Raw genomic sequence first — 14,430 nt, forward strand, 5'->3', positions numbered from 1 at the left:
GAGGTAATTGAATCATGGTGGCTGGTCTTTCCTGTGCTGTTCTTGTGATAGTGAATAAGTCTCACGAGATCTGATGGGTTTATCAGGGGTTTCTGCTTGTGTTTATTCCTCATTTTTCTCTTGCTGAGACCATGTAAGACGTGCCTTTCAGTCTGGGCATGGTGGCTCACATCTGTAATCCCAGCTACTTGGGAGGCTGAGGTAGGAGAATCGCTTGAACCCAGGAGGCAGAGGTTGCAGTGAGCTGAGATCGCACCACGGCACTGTAGCCTGGGTGACAGAGAGAGACTCTGTATTAAAAAAACAAAAAACAAACAAAAAATAGTGGCTTTCCCCTCCAGCCATGATTCTGTGGCCATGTGGAACTGTAAGTCCAATTAAGTCTCTTTTTGTTCCCGGTTTTGGGTACATTTTTATCGGCAGCGTGAAAATGAACTAATACAACTCTTTCTCAAAAAAAGTGGGTATAGCACGAATAAAACCCGAATTCATATTCTCTGTTAACATTTCTAGCATATTATTGTGCAGCAATAATTTTTTTACATTTTAGAAAATGTAATGTGTATCCTTCAATATTATCAAATATAGAAGTTAGGGGAAAAGACTATTGATTTTTACTTTAAGAGAGTTTACAATTAAAAGTAAGCATAAGAGAAAATTTCCTGCACAGTACTTGCATTAAATCTTTTTTCCACTTGTATTCACTATTTACCATTGCCAGGTGCTTTATAACTTTTACCATCTCAGATAAAAAAACATATTATTTCTAATTTCAGAGTAGAAATTGCATTTCATTTGATAAACAATAAGATAATATCAGACAAGTATTTTGATTTTACTTGGTTTTTGCTTGACTGGTTAAATTTTATAAAAACCTGAGATGCTTAAAGTCTAATAGTTCAAATTAGCTTCAAACTTTTCTCAGAAGCAACTGTAGTAAGAATTAGCAAGTGTGACAATCCCATTTAGTCCTTAAAAATCAAATTAATTAAAATGTAATTAAGAGCTAATGTAAGTCTCTTTGACTGAAGTCACCATAAAATCCATGAATGACATGACTTGGATGTATTTTATTTGTACCTGAAATGGTCACTACAGTTTTATCTCAATGTGTGTGTATTGCAAGTGCCATCTTGGCAGGCACAAATACAAATTTCATGTTCACTTAAATCGAACTCTACTATATCTCATGCCAGAAATAACATAGTTTGTATAATAAATGCTTTTTACTAAAAATACTAGTCTGTGGTGGTGAAACCATAGGAAATTTAATGAAGATGGAGTTTTTTTTTTTTTTTTTTTTTTTTTTTTGACGGAGTCTCGCTCTGTCACCCAGGCTGGAGTGCAGTGGCGCGATCTTGGCTCACTGCAAGCTCCGCCTCTTGGGTTCACACCATTCTCCTGCCTCAGCCTCCTGAGTAGCTGGGACTACAGGCGCCCGCCACCACGCCCAGCTAATTTTTTTATTTTTAGTAGAGACGGGGTTTCACCGAATTAGCCAGGATGGTCTCGATCTCCTGACCTTGTGATCCACCTGCCTTGGCCTCCCAAAGTGCTGGGATTACAGGCATGAGCCACCGCACCTGGCCCGAAGATGGAGATTTAATTAAGATGGATGGAACTGAGAAATGGAATTGAGTAATATGGCTGAGCAAATAATTCTGGCCAAGTCGTATACTTTTAAAGATGATTGAATGAGCATAATATTGGAAGTCTTTAGTAAGACCTCAGAAATCTGAATAGGAACATATTTCTTTCAAAATACTTGCACAATTTTACTATGGACCAATGTGGCAAATCAATTAGGAGAATTGGTATAAGTCTATATTATCAAGGATGAGAGAAAAATGAGTTAGCAAAAAGAGTGTAAATGTTTAACTAAGGAATAATGCGTTGTCATTACCACAAAAGAGATCTTTAAGAGTTCTAAAAGTACAAATGTAAAGTGGCTTTACATTTGGAATGGATAACAGAGAAGAAGGATGTGGACAAAATGACTCGTCCTTGTCTGTCTATAGACTTCTGTCTCAACTACATCATCCTAGACCAAGTCACCATATTTCCTGCCTGGACTACTACACATTAGCCTCCTAATTGGTCTCTGCTTCCACTCTCAGTCTGCAATAATCTATTCTCACAGCAGCCAGAGCAATCTTTTTAATAAATCCAACCATGTCTCTCCTGTGCTTAAAAACCTTTAGTGGCTTCCGGTGCAATAAAATCTAACTTCCCTCAGTGGCTCACAAAGCTCTCTGTGACCTGGTCCCCAGCTATCCTATTGACCCCATAGCCACCACCACTGTTCTTCTGACTCACTATTCTCTAACTACTCTGGCTTTCTTTCTGTTCCTCAAACATGCCTGTCATAGAGCTACTGCATTGGCTATTTCTTTCTCGTTTTAGTCTCTTTTCCTGGCTTCTTGTGATTCAGTCTCATCTGCAATGTTACCTCCTTTGAGAGATCTTCCCTGATCACACAGTCAAGTTGCTACCAAGCAGTTCTCTATTTAAACCCCCTATTTTTACTCTGCAAAGTACTGGTCCCAATAGGATATTTTTATTTACTTGTTTATTTGTTTATTAACTATCTCCTGCAACCAGAATGTAGGCATGAGGGCAAAAACTTTGCATTATTCATGCCATTTTTGCAGCTCATTAAACAGTGCCTCGCTTGTAACAGTGTCAAATAAATAATGTGCAATAAATGTATTTCTTTTTTCTTTTTTCTTTTTTTTTTTTTTTTGAGATAGAGTCTCGCTCTGTCACCCAGGCTGGAGTGCAGTGACGCGATCTCGGCTTACTGCCAGCTCCACCTCCCAGGTTCACGCCATTCTCCTGCCTCAGCCTCCTGAGTAGCTGGGACTACAGGCGCCCGCCACCACGCCCGGCTAATTTTTTGTATTTTTAGTAGAGACGAGGTTTCACCATGTTAGCCAGGATGGTCTTGATCTCCCGATCTCGTGATCCACCTGCCTCGGCCTCCCAAAGTGCTGGGATTACAGGCGTGAGCCACCACGCTTGGCTCCCAATAAATGTATTTTTTAGGATAGAATGCAATTTTAGATAAAGATACTAAAATATGGTACATATAATAAAAATAGCAGCCTATGAAAGATAGATAGATTGTTGAATTCCCAGGATTGTTGTAGGACAAATCCCTATCTTTTCCCCCCTTTTCTGTGTAGCTTCTTCTTTTCATTTTTTTTTTTTTGTGGTTTTTTTGAGACAGAGTTTCACTCTTGTTGCTCAGGCTTGAGTGCAATGGCTCGATCTCGGCTTACTGCAATCTCCATCTCCTGGGTTCAAGCAATTCTCCTGCCTCAGCCTCCCAAGTAGCTGGGGCTACAGGAGCTAATTTTTGAATTTTAATAGAGATGGGATTTGACGATGTTGGTCAGGCTGGTCTCAAACTCCTGACCTCGTCATCCACCCACCTCGGCTTCCCAAAGTGCTGGGATTACAAGCATGAGACACTGCTCCCAGCCTGTAGCTTCTTCTTTTCACAAGTGTCACAAACAATTAAAAGCCTCATGTTATATCCAATATTTCTGTTTGTGCAAATAGTAATCTGATGTTGAATGACCTAAAACCACTATTACCCACAATCATTTTTCCAAGAATATTTGAAGTTCACTTCAAATACACATTCACAGACATCATAGTGTAAAGGTATCTAACAATATGAACTGTCTTCTCCAAAGGATAGCAAGGAAAATTTATATAACTCCAGAATATCTGATGTTGGCAGATGAAAACCTGATGGAGTAAAAAGGAAAAGAATTCTATGTTTCTGTAAATGCAGTCATGGGAAATCCACTGAAGCTATTTTAGCTTCATATTTTCATCTAAAAAACTATTTATTGATACTTGCCTTGAAGGTTTTTTTCTGAGGATTAGGGATAAAATGTGATAAGGGCATAGGGCATAGTAGGAACTTCTAAGATGGGGTCTCTTAACATTTTTTCTTCAATTCTCTTGATAATATACAGCAAAACCTGATTTAGTGTTCTTTGTTACAAAGTGGAATTTAGAAAAAGGCAGGAGAATCTTAGACACATTTTATTTCTACTTTACAACTTTTTCAAAACTCTTAAAGTTTTATTTTTCATTGACAAGTAATAATTTTATATATTTATGGATTATAATGCGATATTTCAATGCATGTATACATTGTGGAATGATCAAATCAGGCTACCAAAGTTGTTACCACAAATACTTATTGTTTCTTTGTGGTGAGAATATTTACAGTCCATTCTCTCAGCTATTTTGAAATATGCAATGTAGTATTATTAACTATAGTTACCAAGTTGTATAATAGATCATCTTAACTTATTCCCCTTCTACCTAACTGAAACTTGTAACCTTTAGCTAAGACCTTTTCCCTTTTCTCTGTCTACCCTCCTCCCCCAGCCTCCCAGCCTCTGGAAACCACATTCTACTCTCTACTTCTATGAATTAAAGTTTTTCAGATTCCACACATAGGTGAGATCATGTGGTATTTGTCTGCCCATGCTTGGCTTATTTCACTTAGCATGATGTTCTCTAGGCCCATCCACGCTGACAAAAATGACATTTCCTGCTTTTTAAAGGCTAAATATTAAATGGTATACATCTGTGTGTGTGTGTGTGTGTGTGTGTGTGTGTGTGTGTGTGTGTGTAGGTAGATATAGATATCTATCACATACTTACCACATTTAAAAAATGTATTCATCCCTTGATAGCACTTCAGTTGTTTTCATATCTTAGCTGTTGTAATAATGCTGTATTGAACATGGGAGTGTAAACATCTCTTTGACATATTGATTTCAATTCCTTTGAATATCTCCCCAGAAGCAGAATTGCTGGATCATATGGAATTCTATGAACTTTTTTGAGGAACCTCCATATTGTCTGTCAAATTGGCTGTAGCAATTTATATTCCCACCAACGGTGTACAAGGGTTCCCTTTTCTTCACATCCTCACTAGCACTTGTTATCTTTCCTCTTTTTGATAATAGCCAAATTAAAAGGTATGAGGTGATATCTCATTGTGGTTTTAATTTGCATTTCTCTGATGATTAGAGATGTTGAGCATTTTTTCATATAGCTGTTGGCCATTTGTATGTTAGACACACTTTAAAGGAGCATCCGCAGAGAACTTCAGAATCTCTTACAGCATAGACAGTGGCAGGTCTCAGCTTCATTCTTTTCAGTGGGGCACTTTTCCAATAAATTGTATCTCAGTATTCTAAAGGAGATCTTTCCAGGGTCAGCACTATAAGGTTGTGCAGTTAATACACTGTGTAAAGGCAACTGGCCAACAGGGTGAGTGAGGCCTGGAATCCAGCCCACACTCTTCTCCTTAGGATCTGGGTTTGCACAGAGGCTGCATTTTCTTAATTTGTATAAAAGCATCCTAGAGCCTGTACTTGCCCCTTTCAAAGTATATCATTTTCCAAATTATCTTATATTTGTGGAGAATATAGCTGAATGGCACATAAACTATCTTGCTTATATACTTTTAGATCACTGTCTTTTGTTTGATTGATTTTGTTTGGATTATTTAAATCTAATGATTTTGTTTCAGCTAAGAAAATATATTTTAGAACATATCTAAAATATATTTTAAGTATATTCATATATACATATATGTGTGTGTGTATATATATATATATACTCCTTGTATAGAATAAGTCACTTCTCACCTATGACATGTGGTTTTGTTGTGTTTGTTGCTGCTGCTGCTGTTGCTGCTGCTGAATTAGCAATTGCTGCTGCTGCCGACGCCTGGCTGTTCGTAGCTTTTCAAAGCGAGCCTCCATTTCTTCCAGAACTTTTGGGGTGTATCGCACCACCAGCTTGACGCTGTCTTTAGCAGCCTTGAGTAGTTCCACAGCTTTCTCATGGTGTTCTCCTTCCACACTCTGAAAATACAATGACACTTCTTAAAGGGAGGAGGTTCAATGTTCTTTTCCCTGGAGACAAATCTGAAATTAATATCACATTAAGAACCCAAAATTTAAAATTTTAAGAAAACATGGCAAATGAGTTATCTTACCATCATCGTTATTATTTATTACATTGTGGTTAAACTATAAGCAGGTTAGGCTGCACTAGGTCACAGAATGGACTGTGTGGGGATTCAGGTCATAAGGGTGAAAAGCAATGAAGACCTAAATTATAATGCTAACATTAGGAATGAAATTTCCAAATTTTATCTGGAAGAGTAAATGCACTAGTCAACAAAATTTTGAAAAAAATTAAAACATAGTAACAAAGAGAAAATTTCTGTATCAGATATTAAAATTTATTAAGAATCTACAATGATTAAAGTGGTGTCTTATTGTGTGTATAAAAGAGATAGTAGAACATAGCACAGAGTCCAGAAGGAGAGTCATCACATGGAAAGCTTTATTTATTATTAATGTGGACTTTAGACCAAAGGAGAAAAGGACTATTAACTAAATTAAATAATACAAAATAATGGAGACTCAATCTCATACACTATGCTAAATATAACAGATTAATTAAAATTTAAATGTAACATAAAAACATAAAGTAACTAAAATAAAAGAAAGGTGAACATTAATCATTTTTCAATAGAAAAGGAATTCTTAATTTAAAATGCCACAGGAAAAATAACCACGAAATCAGATGTGCACAGTGTAAGTTTCTATGTCTCAAACACTGTAAAAAAAAAAAAAAAAAAAAAAAAAGGCAAACCAGAAAAACAGTTTCAGTATGTGACTGTCATATACTTAGTGCAAAAGGGTTTTTTTTCTGGTTTATTTGCCCTTTTTTGTTTTTTTGAGACAGAGTTTCACTCTTGTTGGCCAGGCTGGTGTGCAGTGGCCTGATCTGGGCTCACCACCACCTCCGCCTCCTGGGTTCAAGAGATTCTCCTGCCTCAGCCTCTCGAGTAGCTGGGATTAAAGGTGTGCAACACCACGCCCGGCTAATTTTATATTTTTAGTAGAGATGGCGTTTCACTATGTTGGCCAGGCTGGTCTTGAACTCCTGACCTCAAGCGATCCACCTCCCTCAGCCTCTCAAGCTGCTGGGAGTACAGGCATGAGCCACCACACCCAGCCTGCCCTTCATTCTTCTAACAAGTCAATAAAGATCTAAGCAGAATGAGCAGTTGACATGCATGGACAAAAAATAAAAAATATAAATGGACAATAGACCTCAGAAAAGATATTCAAACTCCCTAGTAATCAAAGAAGTATAGACCGACATAAAAATAAATATACAGATATATTTTTTTTTGAGACGGAGTCTTGCTCTGTTGCCCAGGCTAGAGTGCAATGGCGCGATCTTGGCTCACTGCAAGCTCCGCCTCCCGGGTTCATGCCATTCTCCTGCCTCAGCCTCCCGAGTAGCTGGGACTACAGGTGCCTGCCACCACGCCCAGCTAATTTTTTTCTATTTTTAGTAAAGACAGGGTTTCACCATGTTAGCCAGGATGGTCTTGATCTCCTGACCTTGTGATCCGCCCACCTCGGCCTCCCAAAGTGCTGGGATTACAGGCGTAAGCCACCGTGCCTGGTCAATATTTCATTTTTAACTTAAAAATGATAAATATATATTTTAAAATTTGGTGTACAGACAAGGATGTAGGAAAATTGGACTCAGACTGCTAATAACTTAACAAAAACTGGTGAAATTTTTCTGGAGGGCACTATCGTTATGCATTGAATAAGCCCTTATTATAAGTGAATAATTTTATATTAAGAAAAATCTATTCAGGATACAATCAAATAGGCACACATACTTATAAGATAGATACAGAAAACAAAAAACAAATCAATTCTTGGCTTTTGAGTTTCAAAACAGTCTTTTGAACATCATGGCGTAGACAATACTTGGAGAAACTATGCTTCCTCTAAGTAAACACAATGCTGCTTTTTTCCCAATCTTCTGAAGATTCTCCAGGTTAGGATGATGGAGAAGCAAAAAGAAGAAAGTTGTAATTAGACTTTATAGGACCCTACATAAGGAAACCCTGGCTCCTGCCCCTCTGAGCGGATCACCAGGGCAGATGACAGAACCCTTAATTTACAGGATTGAACTGCCAAGGCCTTTTTGCCTTGCTTCTTGGGTAAAGTACAGAGAAAAAAAATCACTGTGCAGTGTGATAGATGGAGACTGAGATAAGGTTAAAGAGTGTCAGACGACCTAGGAGTCACACTGAAGAGGCAGAGAAGGCCACCCTCAATTGTTTGACATTACATTTTCACAATCCAAGCAGAAGGGAAACTCAAAAAGATACTAAATTGAGTTACAGAAAAATAAAGGAAGTGAAATCTTAAGCACCCTTGAATTATACCTTCAGATTCATAATTTCTACTGCAGATTTGGAGACTTAAGGGATCATTTGATCATTGGCTTAGCCACTCAACTAATATGTTTATTAAGCATTTATTTTATGAATTATAGTCTACTACGTTTCTTGAGAAAACATGAAAGGAAGGTAAACTTTGACAGCATCGTGCAATATAAACCCTATTTTCAGTATGTTTGTAATTTCTTTATAACTGGTCCCATGATGATTTGTTAATGCATATAATTTTCCTTTGAAAGGAAAACTTGGTGATTTGGTTGTCTACATACCCTTCTCTAATTTCTTTTTTAATATTAAAACTTACATGTTTATGTTTTAATAATGGTTCACCCAGTTTCTAGGCCAGATCATCAGTCTGTAGACTTCTTCGTGGCTTTTGTTCTATTTGCTTTTATTTAATAGGGTTGGAGATTCTAGGCCAGACCTTTAGAGGCCCATTATCTCTGTTTTGGCACTGTGTCTGCGATTCAGTTGCCACAGGAGGGCTGTGGTACTAATGTGTGTGGGCCATTAGGCTCTCACGGTGGTGGTGAAGAGTTGAGAGAAAAACGGCTGGCTGGTGCACCACACACCAGGCCCTGCAAAACCATCAAGGTTATCCTCTTCCAGTCCCTGCTCTGCCCTCTCCCACACAGTTAACAATGTATCAAAAGCAGACTCCACAGTTTTCAATTCCAGAAATTTTGCCTTCATGCTTTATCTTCAGTTTAGACAAGGACTCAGATTCTCTTTAAGGCTCAACAGAGTCAACAGGTCTGTTGGTTTGGCTCTACTGTCTTTCCCACCAGGACACAGAGCCACTATGAGAGATCTGGGCAGTGTCACAGTTCCTCATTTGTACTACTGAAATGCTTTACTAACATCCTACAAATTATATAATTAAGCAGCTAAGAAGTGAATTTTAGAAAGATATTAAGAAATATAAGCATACTTGAAAAATTTTTATTTCAAACACTCCTCAACTTTGCTTTTTAATTGTTTTCAGAAGCATATCTTGTCTTAAGGATTATTTTTGTGGCCTTTTTTTCCCCACTAGCTTTGCCTACTTTGTAAATACTTTTGAGTACATATGCTTGTCTCCTTAACCTATTATTTATCTCTGGAGTGCTTTTAGTCCATCAGTATAACTTTGTAATAAGAATAAGGCAGTTTTCTCTTCTTCTTTCTTTCCCTTTTAAGGTAAGAACAAGAAATCAAACCATCTTGCCACAGAAGTCTTGTTGCATGAATAAAAAGAAGCCAAAAGATCTACTCAGTTAGGGTATAAATGTTGATGTGCAAGCCCTTCACAGGTATTCCTTGAGCCCTGAAAGTTCAGCATCTATTCTTGCTTTTGACTTAGTCTGTGTCTCACTCTTAATGAAAGTATGCATCATTTCTAGCTAAATATTTAAGACATATTTTGAAATGTGATAGGTTATTTATAAACAGTTAAGCTATTTTTATCAAAGCTGTATATACAAGCACTCCTGATTCAGAGTTGTCTTTTATAAGAACCAGTGTAAGTTTGAGCAATCACTGAAAACTTGTAGCACCAGCTTCCTACATAGGCTGAGAAGGTGGTTCTTATATGACTTTAAGAGCTCTAAAAAGACTTCTTATTTTACAGTGAAACCCCCTCCTCCATTTAAAAGCTGAAATTCTATATTTTTAAGTTTTATCCCCTTGCTTTAAGAGTTTTGTTGTACCTATTGCATTAGCATAAATTAATTTAACAAGGCCTTGCAATGGACGTCTGGTAAAATTGGATTTTATTAAGAAGGTGAGGAGTGATGAGAACAGCCTGAGGGTATATAGTAGGTACCCAGGAAATATTTTGACCAAAGAGAAGTATAGCCTAAAACAGAAAAACCCCTAAAAAGAAATGTTACCTACCCCAAAATTATGCCTAGGCTGGCCATGAGCATACTTGAAATGAATTAAAATGCACTATGAAGACTGTACATTCCCATCCTGAAAATGCTTCTATCTTTAGCTGATAAATCTTTTAACAATAAACATAAAGATTAATATGAGGTCAAGCACAGTGGCTCTTGCCTGTAATCCCAGCCATTTGGGAGGCTGAGGCAGGAAGGAAGATTGCCTGAGCCTAGGAGTTCAAGACCAATCTGAGCAACATGGCAAGACCCCATCTCTACAAAGAATTTTTATTTTTTAAATAGCTGGGGCGAGTGGCATGTGTCTGTGGTCCCAACTACTTGGGATGCTGAACCAAGAGAATGGCTTGAACCCAGGAGGTCGGGGCTGTGGGGAGCCATGTTTGTGTCACTGCACTCTAGCCTAGGCAACAGAGCAAGACTCTGTCTCAAAAAAAAAAAGTGTATATATACACACTCACACACACACACTATTATATACATTAGTTATTATATACAATAGTTATATATATATATGGAGCCTTCAAAAAGTTGTATTACAATAAACACAAGCTAATAAAATACTAAACTGATATAAAAACCATACAAACTGGATCTCCTATAACATTGATGTACAAAGAAATATATTTTCATTTAGGAAGCTGGGAAAAAAATAGCTCAGTAGATAACCAAAGGCATACTTGTTTCATCAGCAACCTCATACAGCAGTAAGCTCTAGGCAGCTTTCAAGTTAGTTAATTTGATTGAAGTTTAGCAAATCAATGGCTGGTAAATGAACCAAGGTTTTCTTTGCTTCGTTTTGTTTTGAGATGAAGTCTTACTCTGTCACCCAGGCAGGAGTGCAATGGCACGATCTTGGCTTACTGCAACCTCCATCTCCCAGGTCCAAGCGACTCTTGTGCCTCAGCCTCCCGAGTAGCTGGGACTATAGGTGCCTGCCACCATGCCCAGCTACTTTTTGTATTTTTAGTAAAGACAGGGTTTGCCACATTGGCCAGGCTGATCTCGAACTCCTGGGCTCAAGTGATGCGCCTGCTTCAGCCTCGCAAAGTGCTGGGTTTACAGGAATGAGCCACCGTGCCCAGACTCAACCAAGTTTTAAACATGGCTGCATTCTGTTCATTCAATAGTTTTACTATTTGTATACACTGTGAGATATTAAAATGGCAGCTTATTTCTGGTATGCTCGTATTTCTGGTATGCTCAACTTCCTGGTTGATTAAGGATCATCCCTTATAAGAGAGAATTTGAATTGCACTACATACATGAATTTGCTCATGACATGTGCTCTCTCTCTCCCGCTTCCATAGAGGGTTAAATTTTGACCCTGGCTAGATCTCAGATGGAAGCAATGCCTGCCCTGGGAAGCAATCATGTGATCTGTGCACTATCAGTCATCAACTGGCTAAGTTTTTAGGCAGGTTTTTCTCTGTGGGAATTACATAGATATCATCTTGATCCAGTTTTCTGATGTGTAAGTTACTTAAACACTTTGTTGGACAACAAGAGTTGGCTAGACCTTGTAGTTATTCAAGGCATATCTACAGCCAGGTTTATGCATAGACTCCTAAAAAACATCAGTCATTCCTTTAGATTAAAGGCCAAATGATGTTATCATCATTTGGAGTAAAGGACATCAAGGGTATTAGGTAATTATACCTTAGTGAATTAGATAGCTCAGAAACACAGAACATTATACCTAAAAAGACCTTTAGAAATAATCTCATTTATGTCCTTATATCTTAATACTTAAGGAAACAGACACCAAGACTGGCTATGACTTACTCCATTTTATAAGTCCGTTAGTTGTAGGTCTGGATTAGAACTCATTTTTCTTGATGACTGCTCTTTCAACAACCGTATGCTAATTTTCTAGCTTAACTAATCCCGAAATGAAATACATGGAGTGTCATTTTTGTGTGATGCAAAAGGATAGGAACTAATGGCAAGAAAAAGATCTGGCAACTCCTAGCTCAAAAGTGTGAGCTGGAGTGAAGGAATAGCATGGGGCTACCTGAAGGACTCACTACTACTAGGATTAGGGGGTTATGATTCTCAACTTTGAAAAGGCCCAGTATAACCAAGCAAAGACCTATTCCTTTCCCAAAAAGATAACAGTGATTATTTTTTTCTTATGATAGTTTTACTTTTGTTCCATGAAGTTCTTTTGTTTGTTTGTTTGTTTGTTTTCTTTTTGAGATGGAGTCTCGCTCTGTCCCCCAGGCTGGAGTGCAGTGGCCGGATCTTGGCTCACTGCAAGCTCCGCCTCCCCATGAAGTTCTTTCACTATCATTTTATTTTAAGAGTGTGTGTGTTCATACATATAAATGTGTGTAAACATGCATGTGTGTATATGTATACTGTAGTTTTTATTGACCATTTATTAAGTAAAAGGCTGTTTTCTGTGCATTTTATCTAATCCTTGCAACATATCTGTTAAAAAGGTAATGAAAAGGTTAAGAAATGTGTCCTAGGTCACCAGCTAGTAAGTCGAACAGATCAACCTGAAATGAGCTTTATCTGTTTCTAGAGTCGAGGCTCTTACCTACCAATCCTTAATCTTAAATAAAATAATAAAGAAAAAGTAAGTATCACATTGGCAGTTTTGCTTACTGATAGAGATGTTTAGGCCAGTCATTCTTAAACCTTGATGTACATAGTAGTCAACTGAAGAACTTTTTAAATATAGAGACCTAGGCTCTTCCCAGCCTTGCCATATTAAGATCTGTAGCAATATGACCTAGGAATATATAAATACAAAACTCTGATCCAGCCAGTCAGTCTCTGACATGTAGATTTGTGTTTGGACACACTACTCTAAACCCAAATAGAACTAACCAAAATAGTAAAAGTCATCTTAAGGGTTTCTCTACAACCTTACTACAGAAAAAAGTGTTGGTTAGATGAGGGAAATCTTATGATTTTGCCTTGATTTAGCTCTATAGTTGGCATTTTTGATCATTAAAGAAAAACAATGTTGATTGGGTATTTAATTAAGAAAGAAATATCTTTTAATAAGCTACAGGATATACAATAATGCCTCCTTATGCACAGTTTCAGTTACCCAGGGTCAATCAAGGTCCAAAAATAGGTGAGTACAGCACAATGGGATATTTTGAGAGAGAGAATGAGACATCACATTCACATAACTTTGATTGCAGTACATTGTTATAATTGTTCTATTATTGTTGTTAATCTCTTACTGTGCCTCATTTATAAATTAAACCATCCTAAATATGTATGCACAGTAAAGGAAAAAATGTAGTATACATTATTCAGAAAAGAATTTTATGATGTTTCATCTTTCCCTTTTTTCAAATGTGTTAATTTTCCTGTTCTAAATGTAGTCTTTTTTGATTAAGAAAAGTGGAAAATGTATTAAAAGTATCACATTTATCTCTTGGAAAAATATGCTAATGATCTCCCATAGTACTTTGTTCTTGCTTTATGCTAATATCTATCACAAGTGCACTATAATTTATCAGTTCACCATCATTCTGTTGCCACCAGACTGTCCAAGAGCAGGATGAGTCTAATTTATTTATGTGTGTGTCCAGCATTTATTATGAACTCAATAAATAGTCAATGAATATAACATCAATATAAAATATAAAGTCTTATAGGCTAAGGAACCAGTATTGCCTGGGTTTGAATCTGAGCTTCTTCCCTCACCAGCTCTGTGAACACAGACAAGCTGCTTAATATTTCAAAGCTTCACTTTCCTTGTCTGTAAATTGGGCATCATAGTGTACTTAGTTTATAGGATTATTATGAGCATTAAATTTAACATACATAAAGCACTTGGAACAGTGCCTAGGATTTACAAAGCGTCCAACAAACATTAGTTCTTTGTTGAACTATTTTCTTGTTAATGGCGTTGCTTAGGGCTTTAGATGTTTACAGACAACAACAGCAACAAAATATGATTTTGCCTTTGGTGTAAGTAGAAGTTTTCTTTATATTATTTGGGAAGTAAAAGTTTACCAAGTAAATTAATAGTGTATGGGGCTTGTTAGAAGAATGTTTAAAACTATCTAGGTGAATCCACTGCTGTTAATCATCCTCAAGTAATTTAGTGGCATCATTTCCATTCATACAATTGATATGCTAATTACAAATGATCATTAGTTATTCATTAAAACTGTTCCTCTCAGTCCCTCAACAATGTCGCGCTCTGTTAGGTAAAGAAGGAACGTGCAGGAGATTTACCTGATAGGAGCATGCATAATG

General features: G+C 37.2%; 1 protein-coding gene across 5 annotated transcripts in view; it reads right to left on the reverse strand.

Annotated features, from left to right (window-relative positions):
• The window catches only part of LIN7A (lin-7 cell polarity scaffold A), a 145,415-nt gene that overhangs the window by 13,261 nt on the left and 117,724 nt on the right, over positions 1 to 14,430 (reverse strand). For 4 of the 5 annotated variants that reach the window (NR_136888.3, NR_136887.2, NM_004664.4 and 1 more), the window contains one exon: positions 5,685 to 5,903. The exons of the other annotated variant lie outside the window; for it this stretch is intronic. Coding sequence is in view for 2 of the 4 variants with exons in the window: in NM_004664.4 (NP_004655.1) it covers positions 5,685 to 5,903 (219 nt within the window). In the remaining 2 variants the exon portion in view is untranslated. The remainder of the gene's footprint in view (positions 1 to 5,684; positions 5,904 to 14,430) is intronic. 5 annotated transcript variants of the gene reach the window in all.

The sequence above is a fragment of the Homo sapiens genome, chromosome 12 (genome assembly GCF_000001405.40).
Source record: "Homo sapiens chromosome 12, GRCh38.p14 Primary Assembly".
Taxonomy (NCBI): Eukaryota; Metazoa; Chordata; class Mammalia; order Primates; family Hominidae; genus Homo; species Homo sapiens.